General features: G+C 39.2%; 1 long non-coding RNA gene across 2 annotated transcripts in view; it reads right to left on the bottom strand.

The window, feature by feature from the left end:
* The window catches only part of LOC105372544 (uncharacterized), a 74,761-nt gene extending 50,292 nt beyond the window's left edge, over positions 1 to 24,469 (bottom strand). For both annotated transcript variants that reach the window (XR_937289.1, XR_937288.2), the window contains exons 1-2: positions 24,413 to 24,469; positions 11,515 to 11,767 (exon numbers count right to left, since the gene is read on the bottom strand). This is a non-coding gene — a long non-coding RNA (uncharacterized LOC105372544). The remainder of the gene's footprint in view (positions 1 to 11,514; positions 11,768 to 24,412) is intronic.
* Positions 24,470 to 24,883: the final 414 nt, after the last annotated feature.

Raw genomic sequence — 24,883 nt, 5'->3', positions numbered from 1 at the left:
TGCATGTTTATTGCAGCACTATTCACAATAGCAAAGACTTGGAACCAACCCAAATGCCCATCAATGATAGACTGGATAAAGAAAATGTGACACATATATACCGTGGAATACTATGCAGTCATAAAAAAGGATGAGTTCATGTCCTTTGGAGGAAGGATGGTATTTTTTAAAGAGGAAGTTTTGATTTCTGCCATTGTTCAAATCTTTATCCTGTGCCTTTTAAAAAATCTTCTTTCATTCAATTACAGAGAAGGAAGAATTAAGTAGCTCCTACTAGAATGGTGGCTTTATCATTTTTTCCAGTCTTAGGGTGAATATATTTATTTTAGTAGCTATAATATCATTATTGTGAAATTTAGAATTCCTGTAATGCTTTTGTGCACTGAAATCTTTATCAGTTTTTAGTGCCTCACTTTAACACTTCTAATGCTTTGTCTAGAAAGTCTATTTTGCTTACTATTAATACCTGCACTAACTCTTCTTTAGTTGGTATTCTTATGGTATCTCATCATTTGTTTTAAGTATTTATTATACCATTTTCTTCACATTTGAAAAGATCCAGACCGTAAATTTGTGTCATTTAACAAATCTATATTGATTATGACTGCAGATATATTTGGATACACTTTTATGTATTTTTAAAATTTGGCCCTTTTCATTTTTTCTTTTTTTATTTTACTTGACCTTTTAACTTTTTAATTTTCTTTTGGATCTGGTGTGTGTTTCTCTAATTCACTTATTTCCTCTCCTGGTTTTGAAGTTGTATATCCTATTTATATACCCTGTATATAACAGTAAGTCCTGTTACTTAAGTCTATTACTTAAATGGTCACCCTAGTGATTTCTCTTTTATGTTTTGAATTTTTACTACAGTATAATTTACATATAGAAAAAATGCATATCTTACAAGTGTGCAGCTTACTGACTTTTCACAAATGAACACCCTCCTATAGCCAGCATGTAGATCAAGAAACAGAGTACCCCCATTCTCAGAAGGCTTCTGCATGCCCCCTCGAAAATGCTACACCTATTGAATGTAAGTTTAACAAGATCTAAGATTCAGCATAATCTTTAGGCTTCTCACAAACAAAATAAGATTTTATTGTAGAATGTTTTACTTCCATTCACCAGCTCCTAGTTTCTGTACTATTGCTGTCAAGGATTTCAATTCAACTTTATTTTTTAACCCCAAACATTTACTATGACATGCTTATCATTTTCTTTGTTTACCATTCCTTCTTGTGTCTTAGATTTTCCAGGCATCATTTTCTTTCTTTTTGAGGTTTCTGTAGTAAAAATCTTTTAGCAAAATAGTCTCCAGTTTGGTTGTCTGAAAATGTCTTTAACCTTATTTCCACTGCCCCCTGCAAGTTTATCTTTGCTAGCTGTACAATTCTATGCTCACAGTTATTTTTCTCTTAGCACTTTGAAATTGTATTCCACAGTCCTGTGCCTTTGGCTGTCATTGACACAGCAGCTTTCTTTCTAGTTTCATATATTTGTCTTTTTCTCTGGCTATTTCTAAGATTTTTTAAAAATAAAAATATGTTATTATATAATTTTACAGGGATATGTCTACTTATGAGTTTCTTTTTATTTCTGCTCATTGGGTTCAATACGGTTTCTGCATCTGAGGAATAATGTAATCCTTTCAGCAGGCAGTTCTGGAAATTTCTCAGGCATTATCTCTTCAGTTATTGCTTCTGGCCCACTGCCTCTTGATTTTCTTTCTGAAACCTTGATTACACATGTTGGACTTCTTCATCCTATGCTCCTTCCTGTCGTCTCTCTGCACTGCATTTTTCCATATATCTCCTTGTACTTTTTTTCAGATCCACTTTCCCATTCATGCATGGGCTCTCATCTCAGATGTCTCTAACCTGCTGCTTCCCCCATCCATGGAACTTCTGATGTTAATTCTGACAGTTTTCTTCAGAAGTTCTATTTGTTTCTTTTTCAAAAATACCTGGTCAATGTTGGGTGTTTTTTATTCCTTCATCATATTTCCAATGCTTTTATATCTGCCCATCCGTAATTATTTTGTGTTCTGTTAATTCCAATATCTGTAGTCATTGCCAGTATGATTATCTTGTTGTCTTTCCTGTCACTCACGTTACCTTGTTTTCCGTGTGTGGTGATATTTGATTGTGAGCTCATTTTTCTTGGAGCTTTGTCTCTAGGAATGCTTTGGAGTTTTGAGTCAAGATGATAGTCCTCTAAAAAGGATGTGCAATTGTTTCTGCTGGTTTCTTACACATACTACTAACCCAGGAACACTTTAATTTACAGTCAGGGCTTGGATTATTTCAGAACTCATAGGTTAAGGAAATTCTGCCCTCAACCTGGTGGTGGTAGTTATGGTCAGAGATTTCTAAGGAAGTTTATTTAAAAAGTTATTATTATTAATGTTTCTCCCATCACCAAGGCCAAGACATGAGACATGAATGGATCAACATCCTCTCTCCTCTTGGAAGGGTTTTTTCTTTGTCTACACCTGAGAGCATTATCTCTTGAAGGTCGCAGCTTTATGTTGAATATTTTTTCAGGACTCCCACCCAGTTTGGGTCCGAGTTTTGTTTTCTGTTCCCCATCATGTCTCACTAAAATTCAAGGTTGAGAGTGCCTGAGATCAGAGACACATAGAGAGAATGCTAGTTCCAGCACTGTTTACTTCTTTGAATTTGGCTTTTTCTTTATTTCCACTTTTTAAGGAATTGTCTTATTTTTTCACTGGCTAGTTTGTCCATAGATTTTACAAAAAAATTGCTTAAAAAATCCAGTATTGGTTGAGATGTGTATTATTAACTAGGATTTCTTCTGATATTTTATTATCTCATTACTGGAAAGGAAACTCTCACTATCTCATTCATCTCTGCTGCATTTGTAAAAATGTGTATGATCCAGCAGGTTCCCACTTTGGACAACTGGAGTGTAATTCAGTGGAGAACTCTGGGAGATGGTGTAGAACATGCCTAAGTAATCACAAATGAAGAATGAGGAAACTGAGATCGTTAGGACCCAACTTCCTGTTCATCATTGGTTAGAGACCGCTTCTGGAGATAACTGACGCTTTGGTTTTCCTTATACACAGGCAAGAGAAACTTCTCAGGCAGAGAATCACTGGTATTTGCTTTCATTTTGTAAAGGTGAGTGCTGTGAGGTTATGAAAGGGATCCTGACAGTATCTGCCAGGACATCAGGTGGCACAAAGAATAATGCGAACCTTTATCTGGGAGAACTTGGGTTTTGAGTTTCTTGCCCTCAGCAATTCATGGACACATAGAAGTACAAACATTTTTTTAAAAAATCAAACAGAATAGACTTCAAGATCACTAAAGCTCTGAAAAGCTGGCGGAGCTATCTAAAGGTATAATCTGTTTTTCTTATACTTCTAGCACAAGATATGAAAGTGTGGAAGACATCAAATTATGTGCTACAAGAATGATGATGTAAAGAAAGCAGACAAAGCCATGATAACTAGAGAAGGATAGCAACAGGCCTGATGCCCTGACTCATGGACCATCCTTTTGCAGAACGGAGCTGACAGTCACTGGCTGCAGCCAGTTGGATTCTTTCTTATAACAGGAGACCTAACGCTTTACACTTTAAAGTTCAGAACATGCTTGGAAAACATCTATGTGTGGCTATGAAAGGCATTAGGGAAGGCACTTGGCTCATTATCCCCAGGATGTAGCAAGGTTCTAAGTCCAGGGTTCCAGTCTCAGTTACTCAATCTCTATCTGCAGAACATATTTGTCCAAGTCCCTGATGTCCAGTAATGAGCAGCAATTGAGAAGATTATGACAGTAACCTCCCCTTTGTTTTCAACCTCGTTATTTGTTTGGAGCCCGGTGGGCTAATTTAGGGCTCAGGTCAAAAGGTTTGTTTATAAAAGGACAAATGCAAGTGTTGAACTGGAGAATCACAGTCTTATGCTCACACAGAAATTACCACTTTCTAGCTTTTATTAAACACTATTGAATTTGACCAATCTCCTTGATGAGGAAAGCAGCCACCCATAGGAGGGAAAAAGGAGAGAGAAGAGAAAAGGCAGACTATTGTATAAACAATAAACAACAAAAGTGACATGAGAAACACAACTTGTTTGCTGCTAATCAGTAGAGATTTGCCAAAACTTGAACCCAAGTTTCTGCGTGTTCAAGGATATCAGTTTCCATGGTGCCCAAGATTCTGGATGACAAAGGAGACTCTTGTGTATTCTTGAGATATTTAATGCGTTTCTTATCTTACATAAATGGCAACACACTGTGCATTTTCCTGCTTTTCTACTTTTCCCACTTAACATTAATTCTTGGAATTTGCCTTATATGAGTATGCAAAAGGCCACATTCTTTGTGGCTACATGGTTTTGCATTCTATGGATAAGCCCACCAATCCCCTATTTATAGGTATTTAAGATAATTTCAGTCTTTCTTGATTAGAAACTGTGATGCAATCATTAACTTCAAGCACATATCATTTTGCACTTTGGAAGATAAATATGAGTAATATTTCCTAGAATTAGAAAGATATTGCTGAATTGAAGGATGTTTGTACTTGTAATGTTAATAGATTTTGCTCAGTTTCTCTCCATAGAGGCTGTATTGATTTTTTTTCCCACAGCAATACATAAGAGTGCTGATTTCCCCCCACGCTGCGTGCTCTCTCATACAATGTGTTGTCAGGCTTGTTGACCTTTTCCAATTTAATAATAGAAAAACGGTAATTGCAATTTTAATATGCATTTCTCTTATAAACAGCACTGAGCAATTTTCCCGCTGTCTAAGAGCTGTGGGTTTCACTGTTTTTCCTTAGGCCGTGACTAAGACAGTTTTTCTCTTTTTGGATTCCAAGATTTACTAGAGTTGTGTCTGGAGCAAATTGAGGCTGACTTTTGGGCATAAAAAATTCAGGGTAGGCCCAATTTGAGATTCAATTTCACTGAGTCTGCATGTGTAAAATTTACTGCGATGGGAAATAAACTATGTCAGCAAGATGCTGCCACAAATGCAAGTTTAATGACATGGAACTCATATTTACAATAAAATATTAAAGGAAAAAAGTAGGTTAAAATACAGTACAATGTGATCTCTCTTCCTTTTTTAAAAATATAGGATCCATCTGTAGAAAGGTGCCTGGATGTATATGGAAAATTAACATGGCTATTTATGGATGGAAAGACTACATGATATTTTATTGTAATTTGAGCTTCTCTTTATTTTTGAAGTGTTGTCAATTACTAATTTCTACCTGAAATAACTAAAAATAATATTTTAAAAATATAGTCTGCCTCATTGGTGGAGAGCTATAAAAAATACACAAAGTGATGAGAAGAACACTGGACCAGGAGTCAGGAAACCTAATTTTTAGTCCCATTTCTGCTGTTAATATGCTCTGAGATTATTGGGCTTATAATTTAATTTTTAGGCCCCGGTATCATTTATAAAATGGGGAAATTGGGCAAGCTTGTTGTTTTGAATCCTTAGAGCTCTAAAAACTTATCTTAAATGTTAAGATGAGATACTTATAAATTAATGCTGATTAAGTTCTTTTATAGATATATGTTTATGCTCCGAATAGTTGCACTTCATAAAATCAAGGTGAATCTGTGTGTGCCGGTTGTTTCTTATGTAAATGATTGTCTGTGAACTGTATTGGTGTGCCATGCAAAGCAAAAGTCTTCACACTGAGTAATTATCTTTTCAAGGCTCATTGAAAGAGGTTACCTTGGTAACAAGAAATCAAAACCCACCCACTTCATCTTAGGGGTCAGAACAAGGTTCTCCATGTAATCATCATTTCTGTTCTTCAGGTACAAACTGTGAAGAAGCCTCAGTGAGAATGTTCATATATTAGTAATAAGCAGTTTTGTACTCAAAGACACTGTTCATTGCGTTGTTCTAGTTCAGGCCTGTTGTCCTGGCGGAAATATTAAGAGCACAACTTTTCATTTTCTGAAGTTTCCCTGTTTGCAAGATAAATTATTTTGGTTCCTCCAGCTCCTCAGCACCTTAGAGAGCTCTTTTTTCAAAAAAATTATACTTTAAGTTCTGGGATACATGTGCGGAACATGCAGGTTTTTTACATAGGTATACATGTGCAATGGTGGTTTGCTCCACCTATCAACCTGTCATCTACATTAGGTATTTCTCCTAATGCTATCCCTCCCCTAGCCCCCTACCCCCGACAGGTCCCAGTGTGTGATGTTTCCCTCCCTGTGTCCATGTGTTCATATTGTTCCACTCCCACTTATGAGTGAGAACGTGCAGTGTTTGGTTTTCTGTTCCTGTGTTAGTTAGCTGAGAATGATGATTTCCAGCTTCATCCATGTCCCTGCAAAGGACATGAACTCATCCTTTTTCATGGCTGCATGGTATTCCATGGTGTATATGTGCCACATTTCCTTTATCCAGTCTATCACTGATGGGCATTTGGGTTGGTTCCAAGTCTTTGCTATTGTGAATAGTGTCACAATAAACATACGTGTGCATGTGTCTTTATAGTAGAATGATTTATAATCTTTTGGGTATATACCCAGTAATGACATTGCTGGGTCAAATGGTATTTCTGGTTCTAGATCCTTGAGGAATTGCCACACTGTCTTGCACAATGGTTGAACTAATTTACACTCCCACCAACAATGTAAAGGTGTTTCTATTTCTCCATATCCTCTCCAGCATCTGTTGTTTCCTGACTTTTTAATGATTACCATTCTAACTGGTGTGAGATGGTATCTCATTGTGGTTTTGATTTCAAATGAGATGGTATCTCATTTGATTTTGATTTTGATTTTCTCTAATGACCAATGATGATGAGCTTTTCTTCATGTTTGTTGATTGCATAAATGTCTTCTTCTGCGAAGTGTCTGTTCATATCCTTTGCCCACTTTTTGATGGGGTTGTTTGTTTTTTTCTTATAAATTTGTTTAAGTTCTTATAGATTCTGGATATTAGCCCTTTGTCAGATATCCACCTGCAAAAATTTTCTCCCATTCTGTAGGTTGTCTGTTCATTCTGATGACATTTTCTTTTGCTGTGCAGAAGCTCTTCAGTTTAATTAGATCCCATTTGTCACTTTTGGCTTTTGTCGCCATTGCTTTTCATGTTTTAGTCATGAAATCTTTGCCCATGCCTATGTCCTGAATGGTATTGCCTAGGTTTTCTTCTAGGGTTTTTATGGTATTAGGTCTCATGTTTAAGTCTTTAATGCATATTGAGTTGATTTTTGTATAAGGTGTAAAGAAGGGATCCAGTTTCAGTTTTCTGCATATGGCTAGCCAGTTTTCCCAACATCATTTATTAAATAGGGAATCCTTTCCCCATTGCTTGTTTTTGTCAAGTTGATCAAAGATCAGATGGTTGCAGATGTGTGACATTCTGAGGCCTCTGTTCTGTTCCATTGGTCTATATATCTGTTTTGGTACCAGTACCATGCTCTTTTGGTTACTGTAGCCTTGTAGTATAGTTGGAAGTCTGGTGGCATGATGCTCACAGCTTTGTTCTTTTTGCTTAGGATTGTCTTGGCTATACAGGCTCTTTTTTTGTTCCATATAACATTTAAAGTAGTTTTTTCTAATTCTGTGAAGAAAGTCAATAGCAGCTTGATGGGGATAGCACTGAATCTATAAATTACTTTGGCAGTATGGCCATTTTCACGATATTGATTCTTCCTATCCATGAGCATGATTAAAGCATGGAGGTAGAAGGACCCAAGGGCACTCATGTATTTCTCCCTTGGCTTCTGTGCTCACTTCACCAATCAAGAACGAGGACTATTAATTACTAGGGGTATGCTTCTAAAAGACTCAGACCTGTAAGAGGTAGTGGAGATTAAGTAATGTTTCTCCATGATTTTATAGATGAAGGAGCTATGAAGTTGGAAGCAAAGCTTCTGAGTCCAGTGGTCTTTTCAGGCCAGCACTTCGATCAAGGGAAATTCTAGCCCTGAGGGCTCACTTGCATGTGAGCCCTGCCTTCCCTTAACACAGTCATCAAGTGTTAGCTTTGAAATCCCTGCAGAACTGTACAGAACCTCTCACTTCTTTCTCTTTCAAAGCAGGAGCACACAGTGTTCACCATAGAGCCTCCTACTCACTTCACGGAATTGACAAGGGAAAGCAGTGCTCTGGTGAGCCAAGTACAAAATGGGAAGGTGATTCAAGCAAGGGTGAAGTCTGGGACAAGACCGCCCTCGGAAACTTTCTGTCCTCCCTTAAGGTTCTTTGTCCACAAGATTCTGAAGGCTCAAGCCAGAGCTGACAACACTTGTCTGGAGAGACTCAGCCACAGTCTCCCACCTGCACCAGGGCAGCCCTGATGAATCAGTAAAGATAATGTTATCGGTGTAGCACTTGCAGGCTGTTGCTGAATAGCTTTTAATCAGCAATCTAGGGATCCCCTCTCAGGGCGTGGGGAAAACAAAGCGAGGACAAGCAGGTTGTATTCAAAGCACTGAGTAGGCATCAAAGGCAGCATAAATTCAGCCAACTGGAAATTCACTTTAAATAAAAACACAATTTTATACTACCAGCAAGCTTACCTTGGAAACACAGCCCCACCTTCCCCACAATATGGCTCATTTTATTTCCTCCACTAAAGGGAATTGCCAAAACAATGACTGTTTCAGTGCCTGTGAATAATACAAATACAGTTCTTAAGTGTAGCTGTCTCTTGGTTAACCCTGGGTTTGGAGGGGAGCTGTGGGGAGATGCTCCCCCAGCCTGATCATCTCTCAAGAATTCCAACAATATTCCCCCAGGAGGCAGCTGCCAGCTCACTCTCCTGAGAACTGGCTGACTTGGAGTACTTGAGCTGGAAGCGATCAGTAAGGATTCTTGCTTAGCCTCCTTTTATAAATGTAGAAACGGAGATTCAAAAAAATTAGGAGACTCACTGAAGTTACATTATTCGCTGTTTCATCATTTTACTGACTGTAAGGGCATCTCCTGAAGAATGGTTGAGATGAGGGATGAATGTCAGATCAAATGAGTTAGCAAGTAATTAGTGAGCACCCATAACAAAACTGGCCCTCATTTCAGAGATGAGGACAGGTCCCAGGAGACCGGCTTTGTAGACGACTGCCACAGCACCATGTGTACGCACAATGACATATCCACTAGAAACCCTTTCTTCCTGCCAGTTCTACCAACCAATGGGACTGTGATCCACCCTCTCTTCTCATCCTATATTTTGGCTCTTACCCTCTGACCTGGACACTTACATCACAACAGCTCTGTCTAGTGTTTTTGCCTCCATTACTGATCCATCTGGTCATTGTCCACACTGCTGCCCAAATGAGCTTCTATCAACATCATGGAATCGTATCACCTCCTTGATTGAAACCTTTGATAGCTATTTAATTTCAAACTCCTACCTAACATATGAATTCCTCTTGAGGTGAACTTGGTCTATCTGTCCATCCTTATTTTTTTTTTGAGTTGAGTAACTCTATTTTTTAGAGTAATGAACTAATTATAACTCCCCAACATGTGGCTCCATTCCCAGCCCCGTGACTTCATTGCTGCTGCTTTGGCTGGCAATCCCTCTCCCTGCATCTACCTGGTGAACATCTACTGTGTTTCACAGAAAGGTGTTTCATCTCCTGTGAAGACTTGGTTTGATAGTGAAGGTCAGGGAAGACCGAGAAGCCAAACTTAGATTGGGAAGCAAACTTGGCCAGAGGGGAAGGTGGAATGCAACGGTCTTAGCTGTCCTTTGGTCACTCACTCTGACTGGTGAAATGCTCATTTGGTTACTCGTGGGTCCGGTCTCATTCTTTATTTCTCACAGTATGTCAGCATTCATTCCAGACCACTCTAGGCATTAGACTTTAAAAAAGTAATAACTCTATGAAAGTGTGTGTACGCGTGAGTGCATGTGAGTGTGTGCAACCATGCTCAACGTTCCATAGCCTGATGGCCAGAATTCTCGAGTAGCAGAAAATACCCTGAAATGCCTTGGTTTCAAGAACATACTGGCCGGGCGTGGTGGCTCACACCTGTAATCCCAGCACTTTGGGAGGCCTAGGCGGGTGGATCACCAGAGGCCAAGAGTTCAAGACCAGCCTGAGCAACATGGTGAAACCCCATCTCTACTAAAAATACAAAGATTAGCCGGGCGTGGTAGTGGGTGCCTGTAATCCCAGCTACTCAGGAGGCCGAGATTGCACCACTGCACTCTAGCCTGGGCAACACAGTGAGACTCCGTATCAAAAACAAAACAAAACAAACAAGAACATCCTGCAGCCATTTTCTAAAGGACTTTCTTTGACAGTGTTTATCATCAGGTTTTTTAAAGGACTATATTTCCCACTCTCCTGGTTACCTACTTGTACTGAAAAAAGCAGAAAAGTGATTAAAATAAGTTCATATATTACAAGAAGAAAAAGGAATATCTCACTCATTGAAGTGGATTTCCTGCTCCCAATTCTCTTCAGGGAAAGCTCAGTGACACCCAGGGTTAAGTTATTTCAAAAAACATGAGGCTTCCACATGATAAGCAGACTTGTGCCATTTTGGTAATTACCTTTTGCAGTCACTGGGGGCTCTGGGAAGGGAGACATACCTCTCTAGCAACTTGCAATTATAATATAAATCAGCATGTGTGTAGATTAAATGCTAAATGGATCTTATTATTATTAGAGCTGGTTTCTTCCTGTGCTCTCATTTTACAGTAAAGCATGCAGTTCAGCAAATGGCAGGCTGCTCCAAATTCTCATTCTGGAAGGTTTGAAGGAAAGGCAATATCTTCCCCTCAGGACATTGCAGCAAGGTTGACTCTTTTTTTTGTGTGCCCACAGGAGACCAGAACTAGGTGTGATTCCAGAGCTCACACTTTCCTAACTCAGAAGTTTGCTTCTTAGTGATTCCAAACAGAAAGGAGGCTTTTAATAGACCACTTGATGATGCAAAAGCTTTAGGAAATTTTAGATGGTCTCCTTGAACTCTGAGTAGGGATTGACTTCAGGAAGAAAAAAACAACACTTATCAAAGCCAACAAGGTACTATGAGAAAGGTTGCTTACTTAGGCCAGTTTCCATAAGAAACAGAACCTGAAATAAGAATTCATGTGCAATGTTTTATATATATTAAAAAAAATCCCAGAAGGACACAGTAAGTGAGTGAATAAAGTCCCAACTGGAAATAAGGGTGCTGGGCTTCCATATTCCTGCACCATCAGTTAGTCAGTCATCAGCCAGGGCTACCGTGAGGAAGATAATTTCCATGGAACCCCCTGCTCTCTGTGCTTGCTGCCTTTCTGCTCCATGTGTGCAGTGTGGTGCCAGTAGTCTCAGGGAGTGCCTTGAAGAGAGGCACAGATGCAAGCCATTGGAACCCAAACACTAGGAAGCCAAGGGAAGGGCTCACAAAACTAGTAAAAAGGGATCCAAGGAGTGTAGTACACTTGCCCTCTGTGACAGTTTGTGTGTCCACTTGGCTGAGCCATGGTGCCCAGATATTTGGTAAACATCGTTACAGGCATTTCTGTGAAGATGTTTTTGGGTATTACTACTCACATTTAAACCAGCAGATTGAGGAAAGGAGATTGTCCTCCCTCATGTGGGTGGGTCTCATCAAATCAATTGAAAGCCTGAGTAGAACAAAAGGCAAATCTTCTCCCAAGTAAGAGAAATTTTCCTGCTTCTGGACTTGAACTGAAACCGCAGCTCCTCCTGAGTCTTGAGCTTCCTGGCCTTCAGACTGGAACTAAACCTTTGACTCTCCAGGGTCTCCAGCTTTCGAACTCATACTGCAGATCCTGGGATTTGCCTGCATTCATAATTACATAAACTCAATTGGCTCATGTAATACATACACACACACACACACACACACACACACACCTATATTATTATATAATTTGTATACACATATGTATATGTGTGTGAGAGAGAGACTTGACCTTCCAACTTGACTCTAAATGGATGAATATTTTGTTCTGAGGATTCAGATGCAATTGGTTTCTTATATTGTCTGAACCTCCTGTGATTCTTTGGATGCAAACTGCATAGTGTAATGCTAGTACTCTTTAAATGAATGGAGAGAGGGAACAGAATGAGATAAAAAGTGGGACTGGTAAGATAGATTTGGTGACTAAAAGTAGCTGCATGGAATTCAATGCCTGGGACTGTGGAGGTCATTCATTCATTTCATAGGTTCTCACTGAGCTCCCATTTATTCAAGGTCACAGCATTGGCTGGGGTCAGGGCACTCTGAGAGAAAGTGGAGGATCTGTCTCCCTGACCCGAGGAACACAGGAACAGCCATGACAGTGAGTACCTAAAGGAAGGTACAGATAAAGAGCCATTGATATTCCATGGTGGGAGAGTTAACGTTCTTAAAGATGTGACATATGATCTGGGCTTTTTTAGACAGATGGGGAGAATGCAGAAATAAAGGCAGCCTGGGAAGGAGGGTTGTGCTTGGGAAACCTAAAAGAGTGCAGCCAGGTGGGAGTACTGAAAAGGGAAGGGGACAGAAGATCAGGCTAGAATAGAAAGATGATCCCCTTAACCCCATGCTAATAATTGCAGGCTTAAATATCTAGAAGATGGAGGAGCCAGTCATGACTTCTGAAGAGAGAGATGGTTTGATTATATTGCCTTTAAGTTATATCACTGTGGAGATACTTGGAAGGGTAGCAGAAGGGGCAATCCTGTGGACCAAGAGTGTGCTTTGGAGGAAGCCTCTGTAATTATTTAGGTGAGAAATGATTAAAGCAGAGCAGTGAGAGAAGATGATTCAAAAGACAGGTTCTTAGCACCCAATTGGATGAGGGGAGTAGAGACAGTGTGGTTGTTGGCATGGACTCCAAGGTTTCTGGTTTGAGAAACTTGGCAGAGGGTGACATCATTCACTCACAGAGTGAATACAGTGATAGAAGCAGATCTAAAACAGAGAAGACAAGTTCAGTTTTGATCTTGTAACGTTTAAAGTGCCTTTGGAACTTCAAATTTGAGATGTTTATTAGGTGGCTGGATATGTAGGTCTAAAATGTAAGAGTGTTTTTGGCTGTAGCTGGAAATCTGGAAGTCATCAGTATTGGGCAACAGTTAATTCATTCAACAAACATTTACTGAGAGTATGCTATATACCAGACACTGTTCTAGGCCATGGGGACACAATAGTGGACAAAATACATAAAACTCCCTGTCTTGTGGAACTTATATAGTAGCACGTGGAGTCAGGTAATAAACAAACAAATACAACATACAGACTGTCAGATGGTGGTTGGGACCCTTGAGAAAAGTAAAGTAGGGGTGGGGCATGGATAGGCTGGGCTGCAAGTGCAATTTCAGGAAGGATGGTTAGGAAAGGCCTCATTAAGAAGGTGATATTGAGCAAAGCCCTAAAGGTGATATTGAGCAAAGCCTTGAGGAGAAGGTTTGATCCATGTGGACAAATGGGGAGACAGCATTCCTGGTTTGATCCATGTGGATACATGGGGAGAAAGCATTTCCAGTAGAGGAAAGAGCAAATGCAAAAGTTCTCAGGTGGAAAGCAGCAGAACATATTTGAAGAGCAGCAAGAAGGTCAGTGTGGTTTCAGCATAGTCATCTAGAAAGAAAGTGGTAAGAGATAAGGTCTGAGGGAAAATAGGGAGCTAGATCATGTAATAACTTATTTGCCATTAAAAAGTCTTTAGCTTTAATCCTTAGTAAGGTAGGATTTGGTTGAAGAAGTGTGATCAGACCACTGCGATGGAAATAGATCACAGCGTGGGGGGCAAAGATGAAGGCAAGGAGGCCACCTGAGAGGCAATGTCAATAATCTAGGTGGGGGATGATAGTAGCTTGGGTCAGGATGGTGACCAAGAAGGTGATATGAAGTGGTTAGATTCCGAACATATTTTAAAGATAATGCTATGGAAGACTTTCTGGTAGCTTGGAGGTAGAGAGTATGAGTCTAGGATTTTCAATCTGGAAATATGGACTTGCCGTTTACTGAGATGAGAAAGATTGAGGGAAACATTTTTGGGGTGGTAGGAGATCAAGAGGTCAGTTTTGGAAACTAAGTTTGAGCTGTCCGTTATTCATCTAGGTGTAGAGATCCAGTAAGCAGTATGGTTTTGGGTTCAGGGTAAGATTCAGGCTGGGGATAAAAATGTTACAGTCTACAGCATAAAAATGGTATTAAATCTATGTGACTGAGTGAAATCATCAAGGGAATGAGGATAAATAGAAAAGTTGTACTCAGGAATATGCATAAATTAATAAAATGGAGCATGAGAGAAGAACCCAGGCAAGGCTATAGATGGTGCCAGGTTTCATATTTGGGCACAGGAGCCACAGGAATGAGTAGAGTCAACCAGCATGTAAGACTAGTCTTGAGCAGGTATGAATATCCCATGTCAGAGAGTGGAAACCAAGAACCATAGTAACTAGGAACATAAAGAATGAATAAAAAGATTCGTGTAGTTGCATGGCAATGTTAGGCCCATCTGCTAATATTAGACAGGCTGCTTTCTGTCTGTTTATCTATTGTCACATGAAAACCACCCCAAAACTTAGTGGCTTAAATCAACAACAGCATTTATTTTTCTCATGAATCTGCAATTTGGCTATGGCTAGGTGAGGACAGTTCATCTGTTCTACACTCCCCATCCATTGGGTAGCTATAAGCTTGGGGCTATAATCATATGAAGACTCTTTCACTCACATGATTGGCAGTTGATGGTAGCTGGTGGCTAGGATTTTAGTTGGGGCTCTCTTCCAGGACACCTACTCATATCCTTGTCCTGTACTTTCTTGTAACATGGCGACAAATTCAAAAGGTAAACATCCCAAAAGAGCGAGGGCCAAGTGGAAGCCATATTGCTTTCTAGCCTTTATTTAGACAGAATCACTTGTGCTGTACTCTATTCATGAAAGCAGTCTTGAAAGCCCACACAGATTCAAGAGGAGAGGAAATGGACTCTCATTTCTTGATGGAGGAATGGAAAAGTTCTGGAAGACCATGTGGAACCAGAGATCTTGCTGTGGCCATTTTATCTTTTCTTTTCTTTTCTTTTCTTTTTTTTTGAAAATGCAATCTTTCATACAACTTGGTAAATGTGTCATGGTCCAGGGTCTTGGCTCTTAGACATGCAGGCTGTGAAACTCACCACTGGCTGGCTTTTTTGAATCAAGATACTGATGTATGAGGCTGGAATGCCCATTTATTATTTGCAGTGAGAAAAAAAACTTCACTGACGTAGAACTACTCAAATTCTCTATGCTTTCCAGATACTTGGTGAGCACAGAATCAGAACAAAGGAGTGAGAGATTTGAGTTGATGACTTGAATAGCAGCAGGTCAAAATGAGGTTTGAATTTCTATCTTGTCAATCGGATGTGAATTATTGATATTCATTGACTGACACTTCTGGGGTCTCTCTCAGTGCATCCCTCCCTTATTCCCCTTTGCGTAGCTTCCAGTTGTAGGAACAACTGCTCCTTTGGAATGGTCTTTCTTTGGGTGTGCTTGTCCACTTAACCTGATCAGTCTGAGTTTGCAGAGGGAAGCCATTCTGCTCCTACAAGTGCGACTTTCCACTTTTCTTTTCTGATTGGTCTTATAGCTTATATCTCAGAAAGCAACCTTAATCCTTTTATTTCTTACTTCTTGTGGGAGGGAGGAGGAGTACAACTATTGACAAGAGAATGCACAGTAGTCAAGGTGGAGAAGCTGGTTTGGACTAAGGTGATGTTGGTGGGATGGAGGGTGGTTCAGTGAGAGAGAGAATGGAGTTCAGGATGGTACAGTCAGGTCTGTCAGGACTCCATGCAGGCCCCTTCACCATGCTGGTGCCTCTATCCCCAGTGGGTATGAGTGTTGCTTGCTAATGGCTCCCAGCGTCCTCCTTCTCTGACCTCAGGCAATGGAGCATACTCACCTAGAAAAGTGGTGGGAGTGGGAAGCTTGTAACCAATGACTCACTGAGACCAGAGTAACAAAGCCCCATTTTCTTGTCTCAAAGTAAGCCAACTCTTGTGTTGCTCATGCTCCACAGATGTCCATGGCATCAGGTTGATGCTAGATTCCAGCTGCACCCATGTCTTTTGCCACGTTCTTGCTTCTGCCTTGTCTGGCTTCCTGCATAGCCTGGTGTTTCCTGAGGGCTCCCTTGCAATGCATCAATTGGACAGAAGTCCCCTTCTGAGCCTCTGTGTCTAAGAAACCCAACCTAAGACAGACTCCAAGGTTTCTGGTTTGAGTAACTAGGTAAATAGTTAACATTTACCTAGAACATTTACTGAAATAGGGAACACCAGGGTATAAACAGGTGCGAGGGAGAAAAATGAAGGATTCAGTTTGTACTTGCTAAGTTTAAGATGTCTATGACACCTGATGGAGACATCAAACAGACAGCTGGATATCAGAGCAGGAAATTCAGATGAGAAGTTTGGGCTACAGATGTGAGGATCAAATCAAAGAATATAATTTAGACTGGAGGGTCAGGGCATAGTTCCCTGAAGAAGTGATATTCATTCACCACTTGAAGTCTGAGCAGGAAATAGTGAGGCCATGAGTGGAAGAAAGAGCCTTCCATGTAGAGGGAACAACAGGTGTGAAGCCTGAGCCTTTTCTTATTGATGTCAGAGGTGGGGAATTTCTTAAGTCTTTGATTCCAGATGCATCGCTTAACCATTGTCAAAGTAAGCAATATTTCTTTGAAGTTCATAATTTAGGGGGCATTTGTTGCTAAGTGACATCCTCATCTTATTTTCCTGGTATTTTTCAGGCAGATTCTATGTCTAGCAATAGGCAAAATTCATTAAGTAGTCTTATTTAAAAAAAAAAATACTTGAGTGTCAAAGAGCTTGTAATTTTGTGCTATCAGATGACGTTGAAATGCGCGGAGGCATTGTTAATAGGAAGCAAGGAGGATTCAGTCAGGGGCCAGCAGAAGGGACCCTGGGAGAAATATTAATAAATGGTAATTTTGGTTATGGGAAGCTTAAAAAAGAATTTAACAGTGAGAGAATTAAAAGGAAGTGAAAGTGAGCAAGAAAGGTAAAAATGAGGTAAACGCCGAGCAAGGGAATAATGGTGATGCAGAAAGCACATACTAACTGAGTTGGAGAGAGGATTGACTGCAGAGCGGAAAAATTTCCAAGATAAAAGCTGGACACATCCAAACCCATAAGGAGAAAGATTCCAAATGCAATAAACAGGGAAAGCCAGCTCTTGAATTGGGGTCCTGGGACAGGATCACCTGGGAGCTGGGAGCATCTTGATAGAGAGACTGCCTGACTGTCACCCCAGCCAAAGGATGGTTAGTGCGGTCACTGTCTTGCCATAGAGCCTCAGAGCTCATCATGTCTGCAGAGGAAAGGGGCCTTGTTACATAAGCAGGGTGTTTACACCTGGCCCATCACCAAGGGAAACACTAACTCCCCACACAAAGAAGAAAAGCCCCAGCGAGAAAAAGTCCTTGCAGAGCGCAGGCCTGTGGCCTCTGCAGGTAGGACTGATGAAGAGATATAATCAAGTGTTCTTGCTGCAAATACGCATGTTAAGAACTTGGGTTATTTTTATGTGCCGTGTAATGGCAATTAAAGGCCCAAAAGAAAAACAACCCATGACTCAAAGGACAGCTTAACTGAAGAGAATACGCTGAAATGAAAAGTGATTCAAGCTTCCCTCTAACCTCTCTCTTTGCCAATAAAATAAATCTAGAGGATCAGGCAAGTCTACATAGATGTCATACAGTTCTGATCTCTCTTTTGGCTTGCTCTTCCTAAAGAAGATGACAGCAAAGAGAGAGGGTGTTAGCCTGCATCTGCTCTGACTGTGTGATCTTGGGCAGGTCATTTATCTCCTGCAGAGCTTCAGCTTCTCTTTTGAGAAATGAGTAAGGGATTTTTTTCCCCCAAATCTCTGAGGTCTTTTCTAGTTGAATAGTTAAATTCCAGAAATCATTTTACTTGATAATGCCACATTTTCCAGAGTCCAACCAGAGAAAGCAGAAGGTTTGTGATAAACGAATGCAAAGAAAGAGTGCCCGCAGAGGAGAAACCCAGGTGAGTGGACATGGGCTATGTTCATGGTTCATCTTCCTGAGGTGTCCTTCCCAGCGTCTATTTCCCACAGACTACCTTTTGCTTTTTTGATTTCTATTTCTGCTGAGACAGACATTAAAAAAATTATATATCCATGTAACTTTCTCAATTGTCAGTGGCTCAAAGCCAATACATAGAATAGAGAATAAACAGCAATTTCAATTCCTCATTCCTTCCTTGAAGTCTTGGGAAGTTAAGTCAACAAGATGTCCATTGTTCTCTCATAGACAGCATCTCCAGGGTGTCTTTTCATGTGCATATACAGAATAATTCCAAAGTTCCTACTCATTAGTAGGTTCAAAGAAAAAGAAAATTTTCTGAAATGGAAAAGCCTACTGTTTTTTGTTCTCTGTTATCACTTTTGATTTTATTATTGAGTGAAATGGCAATTAAAGGCACAATAAACTTAAAGCTAGTTTATTAAAGGGGGGCACCTTTCATATGTAACAGTGTATTATTTTTTCTTTTATAATTCAGCCTTAGAAATAATCAGGTAAGGCCGGGTGCAGTGTCTCAAGCCTGTAATATCAGCACTTTGGGAGGCTGAGGCGAGCGGATCATGAGGTCAGGAGTTCGAGACCAGCTTGACCAGCATGGTGAAACCCCATCTCTACTAAAAATACAAAAATTAGCTGGGCGTGGTGGTGCACACCTGTAATCCCAGATACTCAGGAGGCTGAGGCAGGAAAATTGCTTGAACCTGGGAGGCAGAGGTTGCAGTGAGCCGAGATTGTGCCACTGCACTCCAGCCAGGGTGACAGAGCGAGACTCCGTCTCAAAGAAAAAAAAAAAAAGGAAAGAAAGAAATGATCAGGTAAGCCCTTTGGAAGTCATTTAGTTTATAGGATTCCCATGGTTTTTCTCAAGGGAAACTGTATTCAGGCTTTGGTGAGTAATAAAACTTCTCTTTAAAGAATGTTCTCTCTGAGCACATTTAGATTTATTTAAATTGAATATACATCCATATGTTTTTATAGGAATTATTATTTTCCTACTAAATTTCTAAAAATAGTGCCTGAATAATATCTGCTTTAATGAACAGAAAAAAATTATTAGAACAATTTCTTGGTTAAGTTCACTGTATTGGTTGACACTGTAGATTTGTATATTCACAAGAGTTTCACTGCAAACTGACTTTTCAGGGCAAATTCACCACCCAAAAGTCTGTAGTGAAAGGTGAATGCTGAGACTGAGAGTCACAGATGAGATCTGCTTACCTAGAGCAGAAGTTGAAAACTGTAAACTGGTTAAATGTTAAAAAACACTTAAATGGTAAAATTGACAAATCTCTGGAGGCTGAGTATAAGACTAGCATGAGAAGAAGAAATTCCCAGGTCTTAAGGGGGCCCTTTCACTTTTGTGAACTTGACCTAGAGGAAACCCACCAGGTTCTCATAGTGAAGAACTGAGAAAGATCCCCTTGTGGCTCTGGCAAGGGGAGAGAAATAGAAATCATGAGAAACTAAGGAATTTAAAGCTTCTGGCCCTGGAGCTATAGAGAACATTAAACAAAACCCAACTCCTAATCAGAGTAACATAAATCTTCACACTACAGGACTGTTTACCTCATTTCCTATTACCTGATATGATATGTCCATCACTCAACAAAAAATTACAAGGCATACCAAAGAGAAAGAAAAACATTATTTGAAAAAACAAAGCAAGCATCAGAACCAGACTCATGAGACATAGATTTTGGAATTATCAGATAGGGAATTTAAAATTACTATGATTAATATGTAAAGGGCTCTAATGGAAAAAGTAGACAAGATTAGATACAAGAACAGATGGATGGTAAAAGCAGAAAGATGGAAATTCTAAGAAAGAACTCAAAAGAAATGCTAGAAATAAAAGCACTGTAACATAACTGAAGAATGCCTTTGATGGACTCATGAATGAACGTAACAAGGTTGGGGAAAGAATCAGTGAACTTTAAAATAGGTCAATACCAACCTTCCAAACTGAATTGCAAAGAGAAAAAAAGAACAATAAAAACAGAACATCCAAGAACTATAGGGCAATTTCACAAGATGTAATATATATGTAACTGAAATACTAGAAGAATAAAGAGACAGCAGAACAGAAGAAAGATTTAAACTAATAATATCTGAGAACTTTCCAAAGTTAATGGCCTACATCAATCCAAGAAGTTCAGAGATCATCAGGCAGAATAAATAAAAACAAAGCCCCAAAACCAAAGCTCTGCATTTAGGTGCATCATATTTAACCCACAGAAAATCAAAGACAAAGAAGAAAAATCTTAAAAGAAGCCAGAGAAAAATACCACCATATCAACAGAAGAGTAAAGATAAGAATTACATCACATTTATCATCAGAAGTCATGAAAGCAAGAAGAGAGTGGCATGCAGTATTTAAATTATTGTTAATTAAAAAAACAAAGTATGCTGGGTGTGGTGGCTCATGCCTGTAATCCCAGCACTTTGGGAGGTCGAGGTGGGAGGATCTCTTGAGCTCAGGAGTTCAAGACCAGCTTGGCCCACATAGCAAGACCCCGTCTCTAAAAATAAAAAACAAATCAAAACAAACAAACAAAAATCTAGCATTCTATACCCAATGAAAATATCCTTTAAAAGTGAAGGAGCAAATACAACTTTCTCAGACAAACAAATATTGATGGAATTTATCCCCAGCAGACCTGTGCTTCAATAAATGTTAAAATAAGTTCTTAAGGAAGAAGGAAATAACATAGGTCAGAATCTTGAATCTACAGGCATGTACTGCATATGGATGTATCAGTCAAGGACAGACTGCATATACAGTGGTGGTCCCAGAAGCTTATAATGGAATTGAAAAATTCCTATTACCTAGTGAAGTCATAGCCATCCTAATGTTATAGCACAATGCATTTCTCATGTGTTTGTAGTGAAGCTAGTGTAAATAAGCCTACTGTGTTACCAGTTGTACTAAGGTCTATCGTGTACAATTATGTAGAGTACATAATACTTTTTTTTTTTTGAGACAGAGTCTTGCTCTGTTCCTAGACTGGAGTACAGTGGCACGATCTCAGCTCACTGCAACCTCCGCCTGCCAGGTTCAAGCGATTCTCCTGCCTCAGCTTCCCAAGTAGCTGGGACTACAGACGCGCACCACCATGCCCAGCTAATTTTTGTATTTTTAGTAGAGCAGGGTTTCACCATATTGTCCAGGATGGTCTCGATCTCTTGACCTCGTGATCCACCCGCCTCGGCCTCCCAAAGTGCTCGGATTACAGGTGTGAGCCACCGTGCCTGGCCACCAGTATATAATACTTGATAGTAGTAATAAAAGACTATGTTACTGGTTTATGTATTTATTACACTATACCTTTTATTGTTATTTTAGAGCATAGTCCTTATACTTATTTTTTAAAAAGTTAACTTAAAACAGCCTCAGGCAGGTCCTTCAGGAAGTATCCAGAAGAAGTCATTATTATCATAAGAGATGACAGCTCCATGCCTGTTATTGCCCCTAAAAACCTTCCAGTGGGACAAGAGGTGGAAGACAGTGATATTGATGATATTGACTCTGTGTAGGCCTAGGATAATGTGCGTGCTTGTGTTTTAATTCTTAACAATAAGGCCTAAAAGGTAAAAAAATTAAAAATTTTGAAAATAGAAAAAAGGTTATAGAATAAGGATAAAGAGAAAGAAAATATTTTTGAACAGCTGTATAATATGTTCATGTTTTAAGTTATGTTATTATTATATGAACAGCCAAAAAGTAAAAAAAAAAATTAAAAGTGTATCAAGTTAAAAAGCTACAGTAAGCTAAGATTTAGTTTATTATTGAAGAAAAAATAACTTTTTCATAAATTTAGTGTAGCCTAAGTGTACAGTGTTTATCAAGTGTACAGTAGTATATAGTAATATCCATGCCTTCAGAATCATGCACCACTCACTCACTGACTCACCCAGAGCAACTTCCAGTCCTGCAAACTCCATTCATGGTGAGTGTCCTATACAGGTGTACCATTTTAAAATCTTTTATACTGTATTTTCTTTTCAACTTATAGGTTCAGGAGGTACATGTGCAGGTTTGTTAGAGGGGTAAATTGTGTGTCACTGGGTTTTGGTGTACAAATGATTTCATCACTCAGGTGGTGAGCATAGTACCTGATAGGTAGCTTTTTGACCCTCACTATCCCTGCCACCCTCCAACCTCAAGTAGACCCTAGTGTCTATTGTCCCCATCTTTGTGTCCATATGTACTCAGTGCAGCTCCCACTTATAAGTGAGAACATGTAGTATTTGGTTTTCTGTTCCTGTGTTAATTCACTTAGGATAATGGCCTCCAGTTGCATCCATGTTGCTGCAAAGGACATGATTTCATTGTTTTTTATAGCTGTGTAGTATTCCATGATGTATATGTACCATATTTTCTTTATCTAGTCCACCAATGATGGACATCTAGGTTGATTCCATGTCTTTGCTTTGGGTATAGTGCTGCAATGAACATATATATGCTGGTGCCTTTTTGGTAGAATGATTTCTATTCCTTTGGGTATATAGCAAGTAATGGGATTGCTGGGTCCCATTAAGTAATTGGGGCCAATGGTAGTTTTTGTACCATAGTTTCACTGTACTTTTTAAATGTTTATATATGTTTAGATATAGAAACATCATGTTGTTGTAATTGCCTACAGCATTCAGTACACTAACATACTGTGCAGATTTGTAGTCAAGGAACAATAGGCTATATCCTACACCCTCGATGTGTAGTAGGTGTAGTAGGTTATATCACCTAAGTTTAAGTACATTTTGTGATGTTTCCACAACGATGAAATTGCCTAAAGGTGAATTCCCCAGAATGTATCACTATCAGTAAGCAACATATACATGAATATATATATAGAGAGAGAGCCAGGTGTGGTGGCTCACACCTGTAACCCCAGCAATTTGGGAGGCCAAAGCAAGAATATTGCTTGAGACCAGGAGTTTGCGACCAGCCTTGGCAACATAGCAAGACCCCATCTCTACAGATAATTTTAAAAAATTAGCTGGGCCTGGTGGCATGCACCTGTAGTCCCAGCTACTTGGGAGGCTGAGGTGGGAGGATCACTTGAGCCTGGGAGGTCAAGGCTGCAGTGAGCTATGGTCACACCACTGCACTGTAGCCTAGGTGACAAAGTGAGACTTGTCTATTTAAAGAAAGAGAGATGAAGAATCTTGGAAAAAGGAATCAATGAAAATGGAATAAAATATTTCATTTTTATTATTCTAAAATGTAACTGTATAATTTAATAATAGTAAGAATGTACTGGGTAATTATAACATAGAATAAAAGAAATTAAATGACAGCAACATCACAAGGGATGGGAGGGAGAAATTGGGAATATTTTTTCAATGTACCTGCACCACTCATAAAGCAGAAGCATGTAATTTGAAGGTGGAATCAGATTAGCTAAAAATGTATATTGTAAGCTTTAGGGCAACCACAGTTTTTTTTTTTTTTTTTTTTTTTAAAGAAGTGAATAAGAGGCCGGGCGCGGTGGCTCACGCCTGTAATCCCAGCACTTTGGGAGGCCGAGGCGGGCGGATCACGAGGTCAGGAGATCGAGACCATCCCGGCTAAAACGGTGAAACCCCGTCTCTACTAAAAATACAAAAAAATTAGCCGGGCGTAGTGGCGGGCGCCTGTAGTCCCAGCTACTTGGGAGGCTGAGGCAGGAGAATGGCGTGAACCCGGGAGGCGGAGCTTGCAGTGAGCCGAGATCCCGCCACTGCACTCCAGCCTGGGCGACAGAGCGAGACTCCGTCTCAAAAAAAAAAAAAAAAAAAAAAAAAAAAAAAAAAAAAAAAAAAAGAAGTGAATAAGAGAGGAGATAAAATGGAACAATACAGAGACTTAATTAAAACAACGGAAAGCATAAAACAACTACAAACATGGTTGATGTTAAAGCAAATATATGAATAATCCCTTGGAATGAGTAGTCTAAATATACCAGCTAAAAGACAGAGATTGTCAGATAAAAATGCAAGACCCAAGTATATGTTGTTTACATAAAATTCACTTTAAATATAAAGACTCCGATAAGCTAAAATTAAAGAAATGGACAATGGAGAAAGAGAAACCATACTAATCGAAAGAAAACTGGAATGAAAATATTAACTTCAGCCAAAGCAGACTTCAAAACAAGGAGAATTGTCAGAGATAAAGAGCAGCACTGGGTAATTATGAATGGGTAAATTTTTGAAGAAGATATAACAATTCTAAACATGTATGTATCTAAAAACAGATCATCAAAATACATGAGGCAATAACTCATATAACTGAAGGAGGGATAAATTCACTATTATGCTTGGAGAATTTAATACCCCTTGTCAGTAATTGAGAGATTAAGCAGGCAGAAATAGCAACAAAATATAGTTTACCTGAACAGCATTATAATCAACTTGCTCTATTGAAATTCATAGAATACTGCATCCAACCATAGTAGAATACACATTCTTCTTAAGCTCACATGGAACATTCTCAGACATAGCCAACATTCTAAGCCATAAAACACATTTCAAAATTTAAAAGAGTAGAAAACATGCAAAGCATGTTCTCAGACCACAATAGAATTAAATTAGAAATCAATAATAGAAACATACTTGGAAAATCACCAAATAGTTGGAGACTAAACAACACAAATCTATATAACACATGAGTCAAGATGTCACAAGAAACATTTAAAAATACTTTAAATTAAAATAAAAATACAACTTATTAAAATGTGTGGGATGTACCTGAAGCAATGCTTAGAGGAAATTTGATAGCATTAACTACATATGGTAGAAAATAAAAAATATCTAAAATGAATAACTTAATATTCAACCATAGGAAACAAGAAAAGAAGAGGA

This window comes from Homo sapiens, chromosome 20 (assembly GCF_000001405.40).
Source record: "Homo sapiens chromosome 20, GRCh38.p14 Primary Assembly".
In the NCBI taxonomy this organism is placed as follows: domain Eukaryota; kingdom Metazoa; phylum Chordata; class Mammalia; order Primates; family Hominidae; genus Homo; species Homo sapiens.
Note: the sequence above shows the minus strand (reverse complement) of the source record. Positions and strands in the feature narration are given on the sequence as shown.